This window comes from Homo sapiens, chromosome 18, assembly GCF_000001405.40.
Source record: "Homo sapiens chromosome 18, GRCh38.p14 Primary Assembly".
In the NCBI taxonomy this organism is placed as follows: Eukaryota; Metazoa; Chordata; class Mammalia; order Primates; family Hominidae; genus Homo; species Homo sapiens.
The window spans coordinates 7248699-7269507 of NC_000018.10; the positions used below are offsets into that span (position 1 = coordinate 7248699).

The window sequence follows — 20809 nt, forward strand, 5'->3', positions numbered from 1 at the left end:
TGGTCCAGGCTCCACAGCATCTCCATTGCTCAGCGCTTAGACACGCCAACCCGTCCCGGTACAGTGTCTGTAATCTCTGATTCAAACAGGTCTTTAAACAGCGTAGTCATATTCTACTGATTATTTTCTCCAATAAACAAATATAAATGTTTTTACACCCTGGTTTCAGTTGCAGCAACTCTATTCAAATATCTGGCTGTGAAAATCGAAGACAGTTTAAGGACTGTTGCAGGCATCCACTTAGCCCTTCAATAATGTGTTCAATACCCCTAAAAGTGACAGCAAATCAAGGATGAAATGAAACAGTAAACAGAGCGAAGGCAGATTTCACATATGGCAGCAGCTCTGTCATTTCAAGCTTTAGCCGGAACACTGGATCAAAATGCCGAGCGTGGCAGCTGGAACTTGCAAGTCCCAGATGAGTTGTTTTGGCTGCTGACATGGAGAATGCTTTTTGCACCATGTATTCTAAATGAAAAGGAAAAAAATTAATGTAGGGCAAAGTTTATCTCATCCTATAGAGACTTCCATGCCCCAGGAAACCCTGTAAGAGGCGTGAATCCATGCACTCTATTCCCATTTGCCCCTCACTGGAAATAGCAGGGACACAAGAGAAGTCCAAGAGCTCTACCAGCTCTGAACAGTCTCATTCATCAGCAGCATCCTCTCAAGCCCAAGGCCTTTTTCCTCCAGGCCTGGTATTCATCACTTTTCCTATAAGTCTCCTGTGTTTGTTAGGGTTTCTTCCCTAGGGTTCCCTGTTTCTATTTCTCACTCTGGCTGCCATTCAGATTCCCCTGAAGTTATTTCACTCTTCTGCGTGACACATTTCCTGGAGAGGTCCATGTCAACCCCTTCCCTCTCGGACTCTAGGACTCTCCATGGGGTCCCCTCAGCCCTTTCTGAGATGAGGTTCTGGGAACAGGCATCTCTGCAAGCTGCAAACTCTGGCATTCCTCGTTAACTGGCTACTGGGGCTTAATGTCACTCTCCTCTTCTGCTCTTTCTGTGTCTCCAATTTAAAGAGTCATGAGGTAGAGCCACCTGTCTGCTCTCTACTGTGTTTATTAATATATTTAGACAAGGCTAATCCCTCTACTGTACTGGGACATTACCCAGTGGGCTTTCTATGGTCTTGGGGACTGACATTCCAGCATCTCCCAAGCCCAGTTGTAGGGATGTGACTAAGGAATGCTTGTCAAAAGATGGTGCCTAATTGAGTGGCCAGATCCTTTCATGCCTTTCAGTGACAGTGCCTTTGTAGTGTCCTGGATGTCATGTGGTGATGTGTGAATTGCCTGGCTCAGCTCCACTGCTGTCTGAAATAGCTCCTCACACATGGTCCGCAGGGTCAGTTGCCACAGAGACCACATTGCAAGAGGGATTTTCCACGTCTGTTTAAAAGCTGGAATTAATATTGTTAGGTGAGAGGTGAAGCAACTCCTCTTATTGTGTCTTTTAAACTCTTATCAGGGCCAGAAAACAACAGCCTGCAGATTCAATCCAGCTCACTGCCCAGTGTAAATAAAGTTTTATTGGAACACAGCCACTCACCCACTCATTCACAGTTTGTGTTGGCTGCTTTCACACCACAACAAAGCTGAGAGGTTGCAACAGAGACCTCAGTGGCCTGCAGCACCTAAAATATTCACCTTCTGGCTCTTCTCAGAAAAAGTGTGCCAACTCTTGGACTCTATCACTGATTCTGAGATGTGTTCTTTTTTTTTTTTTTTTTTTTTTTGAGACGGAGTCTCGCTCTGTCGCCCAGGCTGGAGTGCAGTGGCGCCATCTTGGCTCACTGCAAGCTTTGCCTCCTGGGTTCACGCCATTCTCCTGTCTCAGTCTCCTGAGTAGCTGGGACTACAGGTGCCCACCACTACGCCCGGCTAATTTTTTATATTTTTAGTAGAGACGGGGCTTCACCGTGTTAGCCAGGATGGTCTCGATCTCCTGACCTCTTGATCCGCCCTCCTCGGCCTCCCAAAGCATTGGGATTACAGGCGTGAGCCACCGCACCCGGCCCATATTTCTTCTTTAACTGCTATGCTTCCTTTTGAATTTTGTTGGTTTGAAGTATGTTAGTGGTTATTGGAAAATACTATTAGTTTTGATTTATCAAAGATATCTTTGTTTTGTTCTTATTGAATGATATTTTAATCAGGTATAGGCTGATTATTATTTTCATTCAGCACATTAAAATCTGTGCCTACTGTATGATGTCTGCCATTGCTGTTTTTGAAAGGTCCCCTGCCAGTTAATTGCAGTTCTTTTAGGTATCATTTACCTGTGACCGACTTCATGACTGTTTCCCCTTGTCCATGTTGTTCTTCACTTTCTTTTTTGTTTTTTTCTTTTCTTTTCTTTCTTTTCTTTTGAGACAGAGTCTCATTCTGTCTCCCAGGCTGGAGTGCAATGGCACGATCTCTGCTCACTGCAGCCTCCGCCTCCTGGGTTCAAGCGATTCTCATACCTCTCAGCTTTCTGAATAGCTGAGATTACAGGCACACACCACCACACCCGGCTAATTTCTTTTTTCTTTTTTCTTTTTTTTTTTTTTTTTGAGACGGAGTCTTGCTCTGTCACCTAGGCTGGAGTGCCATGGCTCAATCTCGGCTCACTGCAACCTCCAGCTCCCGGGTTTAAGTGATTCTCCTGCCTCAGCCTCCCGAGTAGCTTGGATTACAGGCATGTGCCAACACACCCGGCTAATTTTGGTATTTTTAGTAGAGACAGGATTTCACCATGTTGGCCAGGATGGTCTCAATCTCCTGACCTCGTGATCCGCCCACCTTGGCCTCCCAAATTGCAGGGATTACAGGCGTGAGCCACCGCGCCTGGCCCACACCTGGCTAATTTTTTGTATTTTTAGTAGAGACGGGCTTTTGCCACGTTGCCCAGGCTGTGTTCTTCACTTTCATTATGTTGTTTGTTAGTGTTTTATTTATCAGGCTTGGTTGAGAGTCACTCACTTCTTGAATCTATGGATTTATTTTTTTTTTGTCAGTTCTGGAAATTTCAGAATAGGGAAATTGCAGAAGAGGGAGAGGCACGGTGACATGAGTGCCTCTCCCTATTCTGCACTCTCTGCAATTCCATTCAGTGTTTATTAGATTTTTCTCACTGTATCTTAGGTCTTAACCTCTTTTTCTTATTTTTCATCAGTTTCTTTGCTGTAGGCTAAATTCTGGAAAATTTCATCAGGTCTACCTTCCAGTTCACTAATTTCTCTTCAGCTAAGTCTTGATCAGTTGAACAACATTCATTCAATTTTTTATTTGCATTGTTATATTTGTAATTTTTAGAAATTCTTCTTGGCTCTTATTCCAATCTGCTAGATCTCTTTCTAATCTTTTCCTCATTACTATTTTCAATCCTTTATCTATTTTATTTAAAATATTTAAATATTTATTGTTTGATAACTTCAATATATAATATCTTATTCCAGTTCTGCTAATTTTTGGTTCAGTTGAGTCTTGCTCGAAGGCCTTGTTTCCTTGTAAATTTTGTGAATTTTGACTGTGGAGCTTTTATCTGAAGGAATCCCTTGAAACCCAGGTTGGAGTGGGGACGGAATTCCTCCCTCCAGAAAGGATTTGCATTTTCCTGTGTTGGCTCTTGGGGGTCTCACCTATGTGTGACTTCTTTAAGCTAGTTTATAGGATTACAGCTTTCGAGGACCCTTGTGATGTGAATTTGGGCTCATACCTGCTTAAGGCCTAGTATGGTGTTATGAATTCTAGGTGGAGTTTTTTTTCTTTGCTTATACCCAATCTTGAAAACAGGATGTTTCTCTAGCTATCTTGGGGGTAGGAATGTGGGTTTGTTTCCAGTTCCCCCTTACTCTGAGGATTAGCCATTTGGATGGAGTTGAGCTTTCTTTGCAAGGCATGGGGGCAGACTTCTCACCTGGGGTCGACTCAGGCTCTGTCTCTTTTCCCTCATGCTCTAAAAAGCTATGGAAACTAAGTTCACGTTCATCTAAGTTAGCAAATGCTTTGCTTTGGAAAATGCCTGCTTCCTTCCCCCTCTGAATTGCCACTTGCCAGGTCACTGTTGCATCTAAAACAATTTTAAAAAATATTTGGCCAGACACAGTGGCTCACGCCTGGAATCCCAGCACTTTGGGAGGCCGAGGCAGATGGATCATCCGAGGTCAAGCGTTTGAGGCCAGCTTGGCCAACATGGTGAAACTCCGTCTCTGCTAAAAATACAAAAATTAGCTGGGCAAGTAATCACAGTTACTCAGGAGGCTGAGGCAGGAGAATCGCTTGAACCCAGGAAGCAGAGGTTGTGGTGAGCCAAGATCACGCCACTGCACTCCAGCCTGGGTGACAGAGCAAGACTGTCTCAACAAAAACAAAAAACAAAAAACAAAAATGATACCCAGGGCTGTGCGCGGTGGCTCATGCCTGTAATTTCAGCACTTTGAAAGCCGAGAAGGGCAGATCACTTGAGGTCAGGAGTTTGAGACCATCCTGGACAACATGATGAAACTCTGTCTCTACCAAAAATATGAAAAAATTATCCGGGCGTGGTAGTGGGTGCCTGTAACCCCAGCTACTCAGGAGGTGGAGGCAGGAGAATCACTTGAACCCAGGAGGCAGAGGCTGCAGTGAGTGGAGATCATGCCACTGCACTCCAGCCTGGGTGATAGAGCAAGTCTCTGTCTCCAAAAAGAAAAGAAAAGAAAAGAAAAGAGACCCAGAATTTTTAGGCTTTTTTTTTTTTTTAATGGAGTCTTGCTCTGTTGCCCAGGCTAGAGTGCAGTGGCGTGATCTCGGCTCACTACAAGCTCTGCCTCCTGGGTTCATGCCATTCTCCGGCCTCAGCCTCCCGAGTAGCTGGGACTACAGGCTCCCACCACCATGCCCGGCTAATTTTGTTTTTGTATTTTTAGTAGAGATGGGGTTTCACCGTGTTAGCCAGGATGACCTCTATCTCCTGACCTCGTGATCCACCTGCCTTAGCATCCCAAAGTGCTGGGATTACAGGCATGAGCCACTGTGCCCAGCACAGAATTTGTAGTTTTAAGTAGGATCACCGCTCAGGTTTTGCCATGGTGATAGAGACAAAAGCCTAAAACTGAGACTTTCTTGAAAAGTCAACTTAAATCTCTAGCTTCAAGAGACTTCATGTGTGCATAACACGAATACAGTTTAAATATGCCTTTTTTGGATAACACGTTATAAACTAAGAGTTAACAAAATGTTTACTGTGTTTGTAGTGACTGTGATAATATTACATGCTTATTACAGACATGGAGTGAAATGGAAAAGTATCAAGAATAAAGTTAATATCACCACTAATTTCTACTATCCAGAAGCAGCCACCAATCATATTTTGTTATGCCGACTTTTGCCCAGATTTGGATATGCTTCCTATTTTTAAATAGTTGAGAAAGCATTGTTCCAGATAGATTTATTTAATTAGAAGGTTATGATTCTTCTTTTGAGATGTGAGTCACAGAATAGCATTATTTCTCTCTCTTTCTATTCTGAGGTCATTGAAGATCAGTTAACTACTTGGAAGATACACTATCTTTCTCAGCATAATCTATCCTGGTGGATCTAATTAAAAAGAATCCAGTCTGAAAACCATCAGGGAGTAGTAACTGAAGAAACAGTGCCACTCAGTGAGGGGTGCTAAAGTGTTTAAGTTTAATGGACTAGTGCCACGCAGAAACGACATGGCCATCACTCAAATGCTGCTATAGGCTGTCTGAGCTCCATGCAACAGAAAGGGGAGTATGATGAAATCAGGACTGGGATTGAAAGGATCATTGTATTTTACAAATAAAAATGCTTCAGTATGGCTGGGCGCGGTGGCTCACTCCTGTAATCCCAGCACTTTGGGAGGCCGAGGCAGGCAGATCACGAGGTCAGGAGATCGAGACCATCCTGGCTAACACGGTGAAACCCCGTCTCTACTAAAAATACAAAAACAAACTTAGTCGGGCATGGTGGCGGGCGCCTGTAGTCCCAGCTACTCGGGAGGCTGAGGCAGGAGAATGGCGTGAACCTGGGAGACGGAGCTTGCAGTGAGCCGAGATCGCGCCACTGCACACCAGCCTGGGCGACAGAGCGAGACTCCGTCTCAAAAAAAAAAATGCACTTCAGTAAGTTTCACATGAGCTCAGATCTCTGCAGGCCTGTCTCAGACAGTGCACACAGCTCAGGTCCCATGCAAATGCCTGGGCATGCCTGTCTTAACTCTCACAGATGGGGGCTTTCATTCAAGTTACTAAAATGGCCAATTGATCTGAAATATTTTGGTCCATAACCATGCTTATCTGTCCATTAAAGCCTGGAAGAGAGCCTCCCAGAACAAACAGACCCAGTTTCCAGGTGGGCAGAGACGTAGTGGTTGTTGAACATTGTGGAAGAGGATTCCAATGAAATAACCCAAGGCCAGAGATATCGGTAATCCTGGAGAAAAGCTGAGCGCTTCCCCTTAGACCTCAATGAGCAAAAAGATGAAGTGTCGTTTTTAAACTCCTTCAGTGAGAAGTCCTAGATGGCTGTACACTACTGTTTGGTTTTGGAGAGCCCAGTGAAAGATAACAGTCACTGAGCTTTATTTAGGGTGAGCAGGATCTTTTTTTTTTTTTTTGAGACAGAATCTTGTTCTGTTGCCAGGCTGGAGTGCAGTGGCAAGATCTCGGCTCACCGCAACCTCCGACTCCCTGGTTCCAGTGATTCTCCTGCCTCAGCCTCCCGAGTAACTGGGATTACAGGCATGTGCCACCAAGCCCAGCTAATTTTTGTATTTTCAGTAGAGATGGGGTTTCACCATGTTGGCCAGGAAGGTCTCCATATCCTGACCTCTTGATCCGCCTGCCTCAGCCTCCCAAAGTACTGGGATTACAGGCGTGAGCCACCTCGCCTGGCCAAGGATCTCTTTCTACAACAAAAAGCACAGGCTCTGCCGTCACAAAGATGTAAATCCAAATGCTAGGCCAGTCACTTCCTGGCAGTGCAAACTCACAAAAGGTACTTAACATCTCCTCTATAACATGGTGATTATAATACTTATCATGGCAGAGTTGCAGGAAGGATTGAAAATGATCTCTCTAATGCACCCAGCGCAAGGTAAATGGCAGTTACTCCACTTGACTGTGTAAGTCCCTGATATCTGGGACCAACTTTGGTCTCAATGCCTCTGAAATACCTGGCACAGAGTAGTTTTTCTATAAATACTCATCAAATGAAAGGATAAAGTACTTAGTTATAGCACGAATCAATGCGTGGGAAGACCGAGGCAAAGGCGTGTTGCTGTCCCACCAGGAAGCTTTTAATGTAACAACACTTGTTGATGACTGCTTTTCTTTTCTCTTCTCTTCTCTCCTTTTCTTTTCCCTCTCCTCTCCTCTCCTCTTCTTTCTTTATTTTTAGAGACAGGGTCTCTCTCTGTCACCTGGGCTGGAGTACAGTGGTGCACTCACAGCTCACTGCAGCCTCAAACTCCTGGGCTCAAGCAATGTCCCTGCCTCATCCTCTTGCCTCAGCCTCAAGAATAGCTTGGGACTCTAGGTGTGCACCAACATGCCTGGCTAATTTTTTTTTAATAACTTTTTTTGTAGAGATGAGATCTTGCTTTGTTTCTCAGCCTGAGCTGACTTCTGATGGGAGCATTCCAACTAGTCCAAGGTTGGAAGTTGTCCATTCTCTGCCTGCTCCAGCCTCAGGCAACTAGACGTGCAGGCAGCCCCTTACGTCCATGCTGATCGCCTGAGCCCTGATGACCACCAGACTGACCAGAAGCCCATGGACACCAGCTGTGCTGAACCCCACCTGCCTTTGCCTCTCTTCCCCAGTTACCTCTCACCCTGTCCACCTACACCACTCACGTGGCCTGGGACCCACCACCTCCCCATGTCACTTACGGGAAATGGAACCAGATAGAAGCAGAAAGGGAAGGAGCACATTTACAGGTATAGGGGAAGAGGACCTGAAAGTCGAGCCTCACTATGCAAAACTATCCAATAGTTTTACCTGGAGGCTGATTTAATAAATTATAGCAGTGAGTCAGTAGGGTGATGTCAGATAAATGAAATATTTAACACGATGTAATAATCCCTCCAGTAATGTTAGAATGTTCACATTTGTTAATCTAAAGCACTCCCTGATGAGACAGCTGAATGGCTGAACACTCTGGAAGGCTGCTGTCTAAACCATGGGACTTAGAGAGTCAGGGAATGGGGTCCCTCTATCCTGCTCCTTCTGGGTGGTGGGATTTACCCCTCAACAAGGCATGTTTACCTCTAATTAATGAATAATGGATTTATGGATACCTAGGAAAATACAAATTCTCTCTCTCTTTGTCTGTTTCTCTCCCCCCACAACCCCATTCCACGGACAGAATCTGCCCGAGCCTCCTATGTGCTCCCTTCTTGGGTTGAGGATCCGGGAAACGTGTCTCTGCTTATCTCTCACCTTGTAATTTGGTTTCCGCTGTGAATTGAGGAGCCATACAATAGATGCTTCCCAGCCGGTGGTTGGTTTGCTTGTTCACAAAGCTGACTGGTATCAGCTGAGGCTTTGTTAACTTTCAGGTTTCTATTTAACGGCAATAAAAGAAAAAGGGAAATAGAAAGCCTTTCTTCAGAATTCTCAGGCTTACACAAAATAGAGCTGTTATTTCAAGACCAAACTGCTCACATTATCCACTCATGGCACGGTTACTAATTTATGTATTAAGCAGTTGGTATCTATTTCTGGATTATTTTCATTCTATAATTAAACAGCACCACCTTCAACGAGGACAAAGACAATTGTCACAGTGTCCCAGCGGTCTCCTTCTCTGGCTGTACAATTGCACACTCACTCTTTCACAGAACTGCAAATTCACCCACAGACCAGGCTGACTGTGTGACATGGACCAACATTGCTGCTGTCACTGCCAATCTCTATGGGATTCTTCTGCCCTGCCCTCCCCAACCCCTGCTCTGAATGGCCCACATAGGTCTCTCAGTTACCAAGAAAAACCTGGAAGAATTTACCTGGGAAACGAGTATATATTTATGTATGGCTGCTTTCTTCATCTTTTAAATGGAAATTTGTCTTATTCGATTTTTTTTTTTTTTTTTTTTTGAGACAGAGTCTCGCTTTTTTTGTCATTGCCCAGGCTGGAGTGCAGTGGCACGATCTCAGCTCACTGCAACCTCCACTTCCTGGGTTCAAGTGATTTTCCTGCCTCAGCCTCCTGGGTAGCTGGGATTACAGGCATAAGCCACCATGCCCGGGCAATTTTTGTATTTTTAGTAGAAGCAGGGTTTCACCATGTTGGCCAGGCTGGTCTTGAACTCCTGACCTCAGGTGATCCGCCCACCTCGGCCTCCCAATTGCTGGGATTACAGGCGTGAGCCACTGTGCCCGGCCAATTTTTTTATCCAAAGTTAACGAGTCTATGTAACACATTTTCCTTGAAAGTTATTTATTTTACCGAAGTTACAAATTTATCTATGTAGAGTTGACCAAGCTAGTCTCATGGTTCTGTAAAGTTTCTCTGTATCTGCAGTTTTCTCATTAAAATTTTTTTATGTGTACGTGTGCTTTTTTAATATTCTTGACTGGTTAGCTACAATTTTGGAAATTTTTTTCTTTAAAAACAGCTCTCAGATTTATTTCTACCACTTTCTGTCTCCCAAATCATTAATTTCTGCTCTTAGCCTTAAAATGATAACATCAACATTATTTAAATTGTTAAAAGATCATGGAAAAAAGAAGCAGAGCTTTCACATTCTTTTATGAAGTCAGTATAACATTGATTTAAAATCTAACAAAAATAAAACACCCCAACTGTGCAGAAAAATCTCACCCATAAATATCAATGCAAAAACCCTAAGTCAAATGTTAGCCAATAGAACTTAGTAGCAATTTTTAAAAATACACCATGTCGGCCGGACATGTTGGCTTATGCCTGTAATCTCAGCACTTTGGGAGGCCAAGGCTGGTGGATCACGAGGACAGGAGTTCAAGACCAGCCTGGCTAAGATGATGAAACTCTGTCTCTACTAAAAATACAAAAAAAAAAAAAAAAAAAAAAAATCAGCCAGGCATGCTGGTGGGCGCCTGTAATCCCAGCTACTCGGGAGGCTGAGGCAGAGAACTGCTTGAACCCAGGAAGTGGAGATTGCAGTGAGCCGAGATCGTGCCACTGCACTCCAGCCTGGGTGACAGAGCAAGACTCCATCTCAAAACAACAACAACAAAAAAAATACACTATGTCTAAGTTTTCGTATAAATTTTACAAAGATGGTACGTTCACTGGATATGTATTAAAACATTTATTATTATTACATAAGAAAAAAATCACAAACATCTCTTTAAATACTAAGGGCTTTGATATAATATTCAACATCAATTTTATAATTTTTTAAGTAAAAAAGAAATTGATGGTTACTTCTTAGATGTGGTCTTATATTGCTGTGGTCTGAATGTCTTCCCAAAATCCACATGTTGGAACCTAATACCCAATGTGACAGTATTAAGAGATAAGGCCTTTGGGCAGTGATGAAGTCAGAGGGCTCCATTCTCCAGAATGGCCTTAGCGCCCTCCTAAAAGAGGCTCCAGGGAGTTCCCTTCCCGTCTCTGCCATGTGCCGGCCCAGCAACAAGGTGCCATCTATGAGTCCCACACCAGACACTAATCTGCCAGCACCTTGACGGTGAACTTCCTAGCCTCCAGTACTGTGAGCAACAAATAAATTTCTGTCTATTTTTTAAAAAGAAAGAAAAGAAACTCTGGAGGCCAAAAGAGAATCCATAGAGATTGCTCTTGCACAAACAGTTCATCGCCCAATTCTTTCAAGCTTGAAGTAAATTTTCAAGTTATCCGTCAATGCATTTAGTATGAAAATTATCTAATTAGCCAGATCCAGATAGCATACTTCTCCCTGTGTAGTAGATCCAGAGCTCCGTCTGTGGTGTTTCTGGTTGATAGAAGTAGAGGATGCTAATTATACAAGTTTGGGCAGTGGCCAAATCTCTATCAAAGGCTGGAAAATAATCAGCTCTGTTATTTGCAAGGAAAGCAGGGTTTTGTCACAGCCTCCAGAGGTCAAAGGCTTCCGATTTTACTGGCTGTATCACAGGAATGTCACTGTCTGGACAAGGAGCTGCCAAGAACTCGATTCCCTTGCTTCACAGAAGTGCCCGAAACAGCTGTTTTAAAGAGCTCCTCTGGAACGGCAGGTGCCGGTGAACTATCCACCTGCCTCGCGGCTGCTGGGAGCCTCCAGGCACCCTGGAATTGAGAAAGCTGTAAAAATGAGTACATATGTACGTAGTTATTCCCTTGGACATCTGGTTTTCTGTTTGTGTATCTGTGTTTTGTTTTGTTTCAAGGTCCAGACAAAATAAAGGTTATTTGGTAATATGTATTTATTGTGGGAGAATTCTGATATGTTATGCGTAGACTGCCCATTTTCCCCCTGGTTCAACCACCCAGAACAACACATGCTTCTCTGGGAGTGGAGGACAGGGCTCCTGAGCACAGGGAGTGGCTGTTTCCTTGCCTGCTGTGCTTCAGTTTCTCTCAGACGGGTTCTCGCTCTGTCACCCAGACTCATTGCAGCCTTGAACTCCTGACTTCAAGCGATCCTCCCGCCTCAGCTTCCCAAAGCGCTGGGGTTAAAGGCGTTCACCACAGTGCAGACCCTTCTCTGCTGTTTCTCCTCATCTCCTGCTGTGCCCCCACCGCTTGCCTCTGGCTGCAGCCCTGCACCCCACCTTGTGATCCCCAGAGACCTTGCTCTCTATTCTTCATCCTTCTAACGGCTTCCCCTTGATATCGCCTCTGGTATTTGCTCTCTCTTAACCACATCTCAAAAATAAATAGAAAACCATCAAGAAAAAATTCTCATAGGGAAAATGAGAAATTTGATATATTTCTATCTAGTTACATAGTACTATTATCAGCAGAAAAAAACAGTAAATAAATATAAATATTTATAATATCAGTAAATATATTCATCTCTGGATTCAAGGGGATGATTTCCTAGAGGACCAGAGGACATGGTCCTGACAGTGGTTCAGAGGAGCCATGTCTCCCTGCAGGCACAGGGCCAGCGGCTGTTCTTCCCTGGTGGCTGTTCTGTCCTGGTCTGTGCAGGGGAGGCTGAGAGGCAGGAAGAGGGGAAGCACACTTGCTTTGCTCTAACAGGCTGATCAGAAAGAACTCGTACCAGGTTCATAGCCCATGACACCTCAAAAGCTCTTTATCGCCCAGAGTTACTCACAGATGCCAACAGGAACCTGCTTCCCAAGCTATTTGGGAATGATTTCTGTTGAAGGCCCACAAACAGCTCATTAACTCCCAACCCTCCCTAATCATAAAAGACATGGAAAGAAGTATTGGGGGCTGGTGTTGGAAGTCATGTTTGATAGTTTTTTTCCTGCCAGAAAATTTTCAGGGCAGGGGAAAGAATATGGGTGATCATAGTCCTACCCAGTTGGCCATTTGGCTAGACTTGTAGTCCTAGTTATGTCAACAGCCAGGCGGAGAGGGATGCAATTCCACACTTTGCATCTATTTCTTCACTAAATTGTCACATTCCCCCAATTGATACATGAGGAATCGGAGGCTGAGAATGACCATGTAACTTGGTAGCTATGAGTAAATGTCAGAGCTAGGATTTTTAACCTAGGATTTATTGCTCCCAAAGGCCATGCTCTTCCCAGAAACTGTCTGAGGCCCAACATGTCAAGAATCCAAGTCCTTGACCCCAGGGCACAATGCGTGAGAGCTGGGCTGCCCTAAGGGTTTCAGGTCAGTCCAGTAGAAGGGTTTGCAGGAGCCTGTCCTGACAGTGACTCAGAGGAGCCATCTCACACCTGGCAGACAGAAATGAAAGAGCTGGGGTGACCGTCCTCTACTCTCCAACAGTGCAGACATGGGGGACCACAGGGAAGCCCCAGCCTCATGCTGGGGAGCAGTGGCCAGGCAGCAGTGAAGGCCCAGGCCAGCCAGACCTCATCATTTGGTTTTAAGTATCCAGAATGTTTGATAAGAGCTGCTGAAACTGACAATAAAACCTTGCAGATTTTTAAGTAGTAGCTCATTGTCACAACTGGTCCTCTCAGCAGTTGAGAAGTTTTGGTGTTATTGTTGTTGAAATAATGCATTTAACTCAAATAAAAAATCCAGTGAGGAGTTCTGCTACTTCCTATAACCTCACTCCCCACCCAATACTCAGATATCTTGAATGAACCCAGTTACACTGGGGGATATAGGGAATCTTCAGGTCCCTGTTCCCGCTAGACTTAACATGGTCCTCAGAGGGGAGCTTGGTGTGGTCTCTGGAACAGTGCTTGATTTTAGTGCTGTAGTGCCAGGATGAGGGTCTTCTTGTTAAGCAGAGGTTTCTGAGTTTTGAATGGGTCATCCTGGAATCTTGAGAAGGGCCAGGAACAAGAGAAGCACAACATTAGGTTGTCCCTGGATTTGCTTTACAAAGTGGGTGTCCCAGCTATGGATAGGCTAAGACTGAATAGTCATACAGTGCAGTAGGCACATTGAGGACATCATTATCATTCCCTTTTATCCATTTATTGATTAGATAGTTAAAACTTTCAATGTTATCTTGAAGTTATCCAGTGATTCAGTGATATTTTATGTTGGAGGAAGGAAAATGTCAGAGGGTTTCTAATTTATTTTTTATTTTATTTTGTTATTATTATTATTTTTTAAATTTAGAGACAAGAGTCTCACTCTGTCACTCAGGATGGAACGTGGTGGCATGATCATAGCTCACTGTAACTTCTAACTCCTGGGCTCAAGCAATCCTCCTGCCTCAGCCTCCCAAGTAGCTTGGACTAAAGGTGTGTGCCACCACACCCAGGTAATTTTTAAGTTTTTTGTAGAGACGGGGTCTCACCAGATTGCCCAAGCTGGCCTCGAACTTCTGGGGTCAAGCAATCCTCCCACCTCTGCCTACCAAAGTGCTGGGATTACAGGCATGAGCAACCGCACCTGGCCTAAGGTTTCTAATTTTGTTTTGTTTTGTTTTTGAAATGGAGTCTTGCCCTGTCACCCAGGCTGGAGTGCAATGTTGCAATCTCGGCTCACTGCAACCTCCGCCTCCCGGATTCAAGTGATTCTCCTGCCTCAGCCGCCCGAGTAGCTGGGAATACAGGCATGTGCCACCATGCCTGGCTAATTTTTTATATCTTTAGTAGAGACGGGGTTTCACCATGTTGGCCAGGCTGGTCTCAAACTCCTGACCTCATGATCTGCCCACCTCAGCCTCCCAAAGTGCTGGGACTACAGGCATGAGCCATGGCACCCAGCCTTTTTTTTTTTTTTTTGAGATGGAGTCTAGCTCTGTTGCCCAGGCTAGAGTGCAGTGGTGTAATCTTGGCTTGCTGCAACCTCTGCCTCTGGGTTCAAGAGATTCTCCTGTCTCAGCCTCCCAAGTAGCTGGGACTACAGGCATGTGCCACCATGCCCTGCTATTTTTTTTTATAGTTTTAGTAGAGATAGGGTTTCACCATTTTGGCCAGGCTGGTCTCGAACTCCTGACCTCCAGTGATCCGCCCTCCTTGGCCTCCAAAGTGCTGTGATTACAAACATGAGCCACTGCGCCTGGCCTAAGATTTCTAATTTAAAAGGTCACCTGGCTAGCAGCTCCTGATTCAGTCTCCCTCAATGCCCATTTATAAGAAAAGAATATATTTGGAACTCTTAAAACTAGGACTGACAGCCAATCTCTTACCAGAGTTTGGGAAGACCTTCCACAAGCTGTAGAGCTAATGTCACTCAGTGGACAATGCAGGTCTGGCCTCAGGAATGGGTCAACTGGCTTCCATCCCTCTCCATGCTCCACACCGGGTCAGAGCCTCATCAACTGTAAAACCAGAACATGTCATGCCTCGACTCTCTAGGTGCTACTTTTTGACACAGTCAGATTCGTCCTCCCCAGATAGCTACTTCTGCTGTTAGATTGAGCTAGATAATTCTGGAGCTTCTGGAGGAGGCTCGTTCTGGGTAGTGTAGTGGCCCAAATAAAGCACCATGAATGGGGACAGAGTCCGGAAGAGCCTTGGCGTCTAGGCAGCTGCAAGGTTGTTATTTCTCAGATCCTCAAATTTTACAAAGGGTCAGAAGGTCAGACAGCAAAGACAGGAAAAGCTCCCTTCATAGATTAGCAAAGACATTCCAGCAGTAGGCTTCCTAGTGACAGAAAAGTTGTGTGTGTCCCCCAGCTCTTCCTGGGACAGCCACTTGGGAAGGGTGGGGGTGGGGACACACAGTGTGCTTGTTCTCTTGTGCTGGGTAGAGCTCTGCCTTCTTGGACAAGGAAACAAGAAAAAGGAGTAGTCTTTGAAAAAATCATATGGTCCTGATAAAGTCAGCCTCGTGCTAAAATTTCACTGGAAACAATGTTTTTCTAAAAAAAAAAAAAAAAAAAACCTAAAACACATTTTAGGAAACAATGATCATCCTTAGATAAAAAATCAAATTGCCTTTTTGAAATGGAACAAAATGTCAAAGGGAGAATAGACTGATATGGAAGCAGCCCAGATAAAGAAAATCGAGATAAGTAAAATAAGAAAGTATTAAAGGAAACGAGAAATTCAATGCTGAATTAATCCATGTGGGGATGGTAAATCAGAAATGACACCTTGGAAAATCTGATCCTTAGTGAGGGAGACAAACCTGAGACTCTCTCTGAGAATGGAGAGGAAAGGAAATCACGTGGAAATGGTGGGATGGACAGAAAAAAAGAAAATACAGCATTGGGGTGAAAGGGCATGAGATTCAGTGTCTCACGCAGACTTGAAGCTCAACCCCAGCACTTACAACATGTGCGGACCTGGGCAAGGCTTCCATCTGCAGTGCAGGGATAACAATATCTCCTCAGAGTACCACAGTTGGGACAGCAACAAATATATATGGGAATTCAGCATGACATATGGCATCTGGTGAACAGTGAACACGCATAAAAGGAGGAACAGAGACAGAAAGAAGTTAGGGCTGTTCCCCAGGAAGAAAGTCAAGTAGAACAGATGGATGGAATGGTCACCAAAGACATCATGGTGGGAGGGTGAGGGTGAGGTGGATATGGGGGTGGTTGGGCCTTTCCTGAGCCTAGGCTGAAAAAACGACCTGAGTGCAATTAGAAGGAGGTTACCAGGATGAGACATCAATGACACGAGAAGTGGTTATATTTTTGAATTCTGAGGATCAAGAAAACAAGACCCAGGCCGGGCGCGGTGGCTCACGCCTGTAATCCCAGCCCTTTGGGAGGCCAAGGCAGGCGGATCACGAGGTCAGGAGATCGAGACCATCCTGGCTAACATGGTGAAACCCCGTATCTACTAAAAATACAAAAAATTAGCACGGCGTAGTGGTGGGCGCCTGTAGTCCCAGCTACTCGGGAGGCTGAGGCAGGAGAATGGCTTGAACCCAAGAGGCGGAACTTGCAGTGAGCGGAGATCGCGCCACTGCACTCCAGCCTGGGGGACAGAGAGAGACTCCGTCTCAAAAAAAAAAAAGAAAAGAAAACTCAAAACCCAACAAGCATTCAGGCAGCAAAAATAGGTTACCTACAGAAGTTCAGAAATTAGGACGGCCTCGGGGAATCATTAAATACCAGAATCTGATGAAGGAACATTTGCTGTTTTGAAGGAAAATAGTTGCAAGCCCAAAATATATGCCCAGTTGAGTTATTTTTCATGTGAAGGCTACAGAAAGATATTTTTGAATATGCAAGGTTCAAGAAATAGGCACGAATGTGCTATTCTGGTAAAAATTGTTTTAGATGACCTAGAGCCAACTAAGCAATTAACCACTGTTAACAAATGGATAATTTTTATATAAAAGGACTAATAGTGAATAATGAAATCTACTAAATATATCATAAAACCTATTCTGTTATAAATTTAGTTTTAAAATGTACTGACAATCTCAAATTTAATATGGAATTATATTTAATAGAAAAATGGTAATTTAGTAAGAACAAACTGGTCTCAAACTCCAGATTTTATTAATAAAGTCTGGGATGTGGGAGGTGATGTTGAATTAAAGCAATGCTAACCCCATCTTATGTGGGGTGCACAGTGGTTACCATGTCATGATTTTATTCTGGTACTTAGAGAAACATATGTCTGGTAGTGTTCTTATAGCTTAAAAGTAACTTAATGGCCAGGCAAGGTGGTTCATGCCTGTAATCCCAGCACTTTGGGAAGCCGATGGGGGCAGATCATGAGGTCAGGAGATCAAGACCATCCTGGCCAACATGGTGAAACCCTGTCTCTACTAAAAATACAAAAATTAGCTGGGCATGGCCCTGTGCACCTGTGGTCCCAGTTACTCGGGAGGCTGAGGCGGGAGAATTGCTTGAACCCGGGAGCTGGAGGCTGCAGTGAGCCAAGATTGCGCCACTGCACTCCAGCCTGGACAACAAATGGGACTCTGTCTTAAAAAAAAAAAAAAAAAAGTAACTTATTGGCCCTGTGAGGTGGCTCACGCCTGTATTCCCAGCACTTTGGGAGGCAGAGGGGGGCGGATCACCTGAGGAGTTCAAGGCCAGCCTGGCCAACATGGCAAAACTCCATCTCTACTAAAAATACAAAAATTAGCCGGGCATGGTGGTGCATGCCTCTAATCCCAGCTACTAGGGAGGCTGAGACAGGAGAATCACTTGAACCCGGGAGGCGGAGTTTGCAGTGAGCTGAGATTGTACCACTGCACTCCAGCCTGGGCAACAGAGCGAGACTCCATCTCAAATAAAAAAAAGTAACTTATTGTTAGACTTAAAATAGGACATGACTTCCAAATCTTTGGAAAATATTTAAGCAGGTAAAGTCTAGTGTGTTAACAGAAAACTGAAAACACGGACTTAGGGAAGAGCCATAAAAGCTGTACATTTTAAGGACAAGGGGAAATGTGCATAACTTAACCCATATGCACAGCACGGTTCTGATGTTAATACGTGCGCATGTGCACGCATGTGTGCATGGATGCTAGGAAAAAGAATGAAAGGAAGTGGGCCAAAATATGCTGTTTTTTAGAAGAACGTATGTTGTTATATGTAGAGAAAACAGACAACATAACGACCACAGAAGATGGCGGAAGCGCCAGATGTGCAGACAGATAATGCAGGATATCGCCGAGGCAAGTCCCAGGTACCACTGTGGGAAGGGGAGGGGTCTGCAGTGTCTCCCCAAAGAGCTGGATCAGCAGGACCCTCCCCAAGATCAGCCTGTGTTCCCCAGCATCCCTGCCTTCATCAGAGAACACAGACACGGATGTCTGCTCTTGTCAATTTAAATGGCATATAAAATACTAACCTAAGGTCAATTCTTCTAATGCTATTTTACCTTAATGGGCATATGATTTGAATGCGTAACTTTCTAGCAGTTGAAATTGAGAAAGTGGAGAGCATACACGTGTGTCGGGCACACTGCCTAGCCCCAGGCATCGGGGCCGACAGCAGGCACAGGGCCCAGGTCCCACAATACTTTTAAGTGCCCATGAAAATGTTTAAATTATAATTTATTTTAATATCAGAAGAGAAATGAATAGGATAATAATGAATATATAAGAGTGAATCTAGCTTGTTTTTTGTTAATCTTTATACCAACACAGTTGTACAATATCATTTTTAATACTTGCTATGGAGAAAGTCACACAAAGGCAAAAATACCTAGGGTTCATACAAGCTATAATGTGGCCCTCACATGAGCTCATAACACCTTGAACTCATTGTGCCCCTGAACTCATAGTATCCCTAAGTTCATAACATCACGGAGCTCGTAGTTGTCCAAAATCATAGCACCCCTAGACTCATAGCACCCTTCAGCTGGTACTTCTAAACTCATTGTACCCCTAAACTCATAGCACTCCTGAATACATAGCACCCCTGAGCTCAAGATACCCCTAAATTCAGCATTCCTGATCTCTTTGTACTGCTGATGTCATAGCACCTCTGCACTCATAACACTTCTGAGTTCACAGCACCCCTGAACTCATAGTGATCTACTCTGCCCTGTCCTGCCTGAATTACCAATTAAAGAAGGCCTCAGTCATGAATTATTTAAATATCTAATCAATGGCAGAAAATGTCAGTTTTATGACTAAGCCGATGTTAATGGTCTGTACAAACAACAGTGTTCTATTTTTATGTGAGAAAAGACTTCAACACTTTTTATTGTTATTGTTTTATATAAAAAAAGTGTCCATGTGGATGATCATATTCATAGAAAAGCTTAGATATGGGACTCAGAAAAGTTTGACCCAGGATCTAACATTGATTCAAGGTTAAATTTTAGGTGTATTACTAAGCTGGTCTAAGTCTCCATTTTCTTATCTGCAAAATGCAGATATTATTTATTTTTAGAGTTTTTATGCAGTTAAAATTGAACATATGCAAAGTGCTGGCCCTTGCCTGGCTTACAGTATTCACTCGGTAAATGGTTGCACAGTAGATCACTTACCATAAATGTCCGGGACCTGACCTGTTTCAAATTAATGATATTTCTGCAGTTTATATATCTTAATGTGAAATGACTGCAATGACTACAAAGGAAAAGATGGTTGCCCAAGGGATGTGTTTAATAATGTGAGACACATAATTTGGTAGGAAATGAATGAATTAGGAAGATATATACGGCTTACAAAATGTTTCATTTTTATAAATGTGTTATGCATAACAATTAAAGTACCTACTAAATTTTAATAATTGTTTTGCATAAATCAGAAACATCTGGGTTTATACGAAATAAAAAAGTTACCCAGTATAAAAAAACTAAAATATGTATTGACATAGATTTGTTCAATCATCATTCCGGCATCAACGAATAATTATTGAACACTTACCTTATTTCCCATCACTGAGGACTCAGCACAAAATGACACAAAGTCTCTTCTCTCATGGACCTTGTGTTCTCCCAGGAGAGAAAGAAAACCAATAAGGAAGAAATGCATAATAGTGGTGTGTTACATTATTTTGCTTTGTAAACAATCATATATTACTTCAGATAGTATTTACTGCTATGGGGAGAAATAAATCAGGGTGAATGGTATAGTTAGTAATATGGGATGGAGAGATTGCAGAAGGAGGCAGTTTTTGACAATGTACCCAGAGGAGGAAAGACCACATCTTAGCCACTCTTTCTCCCCCATGTTGCTGATGAGGAGCACAAAGTCAGGTACCGTAGGCTCTCCATATAATTTTGCTAAGTCAAAATGTTATCATTGTTACAAAAATATCTATTATGACTGACATGCTTTGATATTCTTAAATTTTTTTGAGATTTTACCTTAAGATATATTTCTCTTGCCCAGAAAGCCTTCAATTATTATTGAAGTGAAAATGTTATATCCACAAAGGAACTAATTTGATTTGATTTTCCCCCTCTTGCAATGAGCTGTAGGCACACTTGAAGAGGAATGCTGGTCAATTGATATCCTTGCTGACAGTGAGTCACCAAATGTCACATTTGGCAATGTGGATGTTCAATTTTAGAATATTAGAACACAAGAAAATAGACTTGACACTAAAATTTCACTGAATGTAATCCAATCATTGATGATTCAGAAGCACCTTAAGCTCCTGTGGTGTCTTGCTGTGAATATCACTTGATTCTGCTTATGTGTCAATCAATAGAGACTCACGAATTTTATGGTAGATAGAGAGAGATGGCATGAGTACATGTGGGCTATATGTATATATATATATATATTTAATTGGTGGTATATATATATATATATATATATATATAATTTAATTGGTGGTAGGACAGCAGGTAAATCACATACCTACCAGAAAGTTGTTGCATTCATCCATTTTGTGTTGCTATAAAGG

General features: G+C 43.4%; 1 long non-coding RNA gene across 1 annotated transcript; it reads right to left on the reverse strand.

Moving 5' to 3' along the window:
- Window positions 1-385: 385 nt before the first annotated feature.
- LOC105371973 (uncharacterized) lies at window positions 386-19905 on the reverse strand. Its single transcript, XR_935118.2, has 4 exons — window positions 19822-19905; window positions 14714-14845; window positions 8433-8555; window positions 386-468 (listed from the first exon to the last, which is right to left on the reverse strand). It is a non-coding gene; the product is annotated as an uncharacterized LOC105371973 (long non-coding RNA).
- Between the last annotated feature and the right edge of the window lie 904 nt (window positions 19906-20809).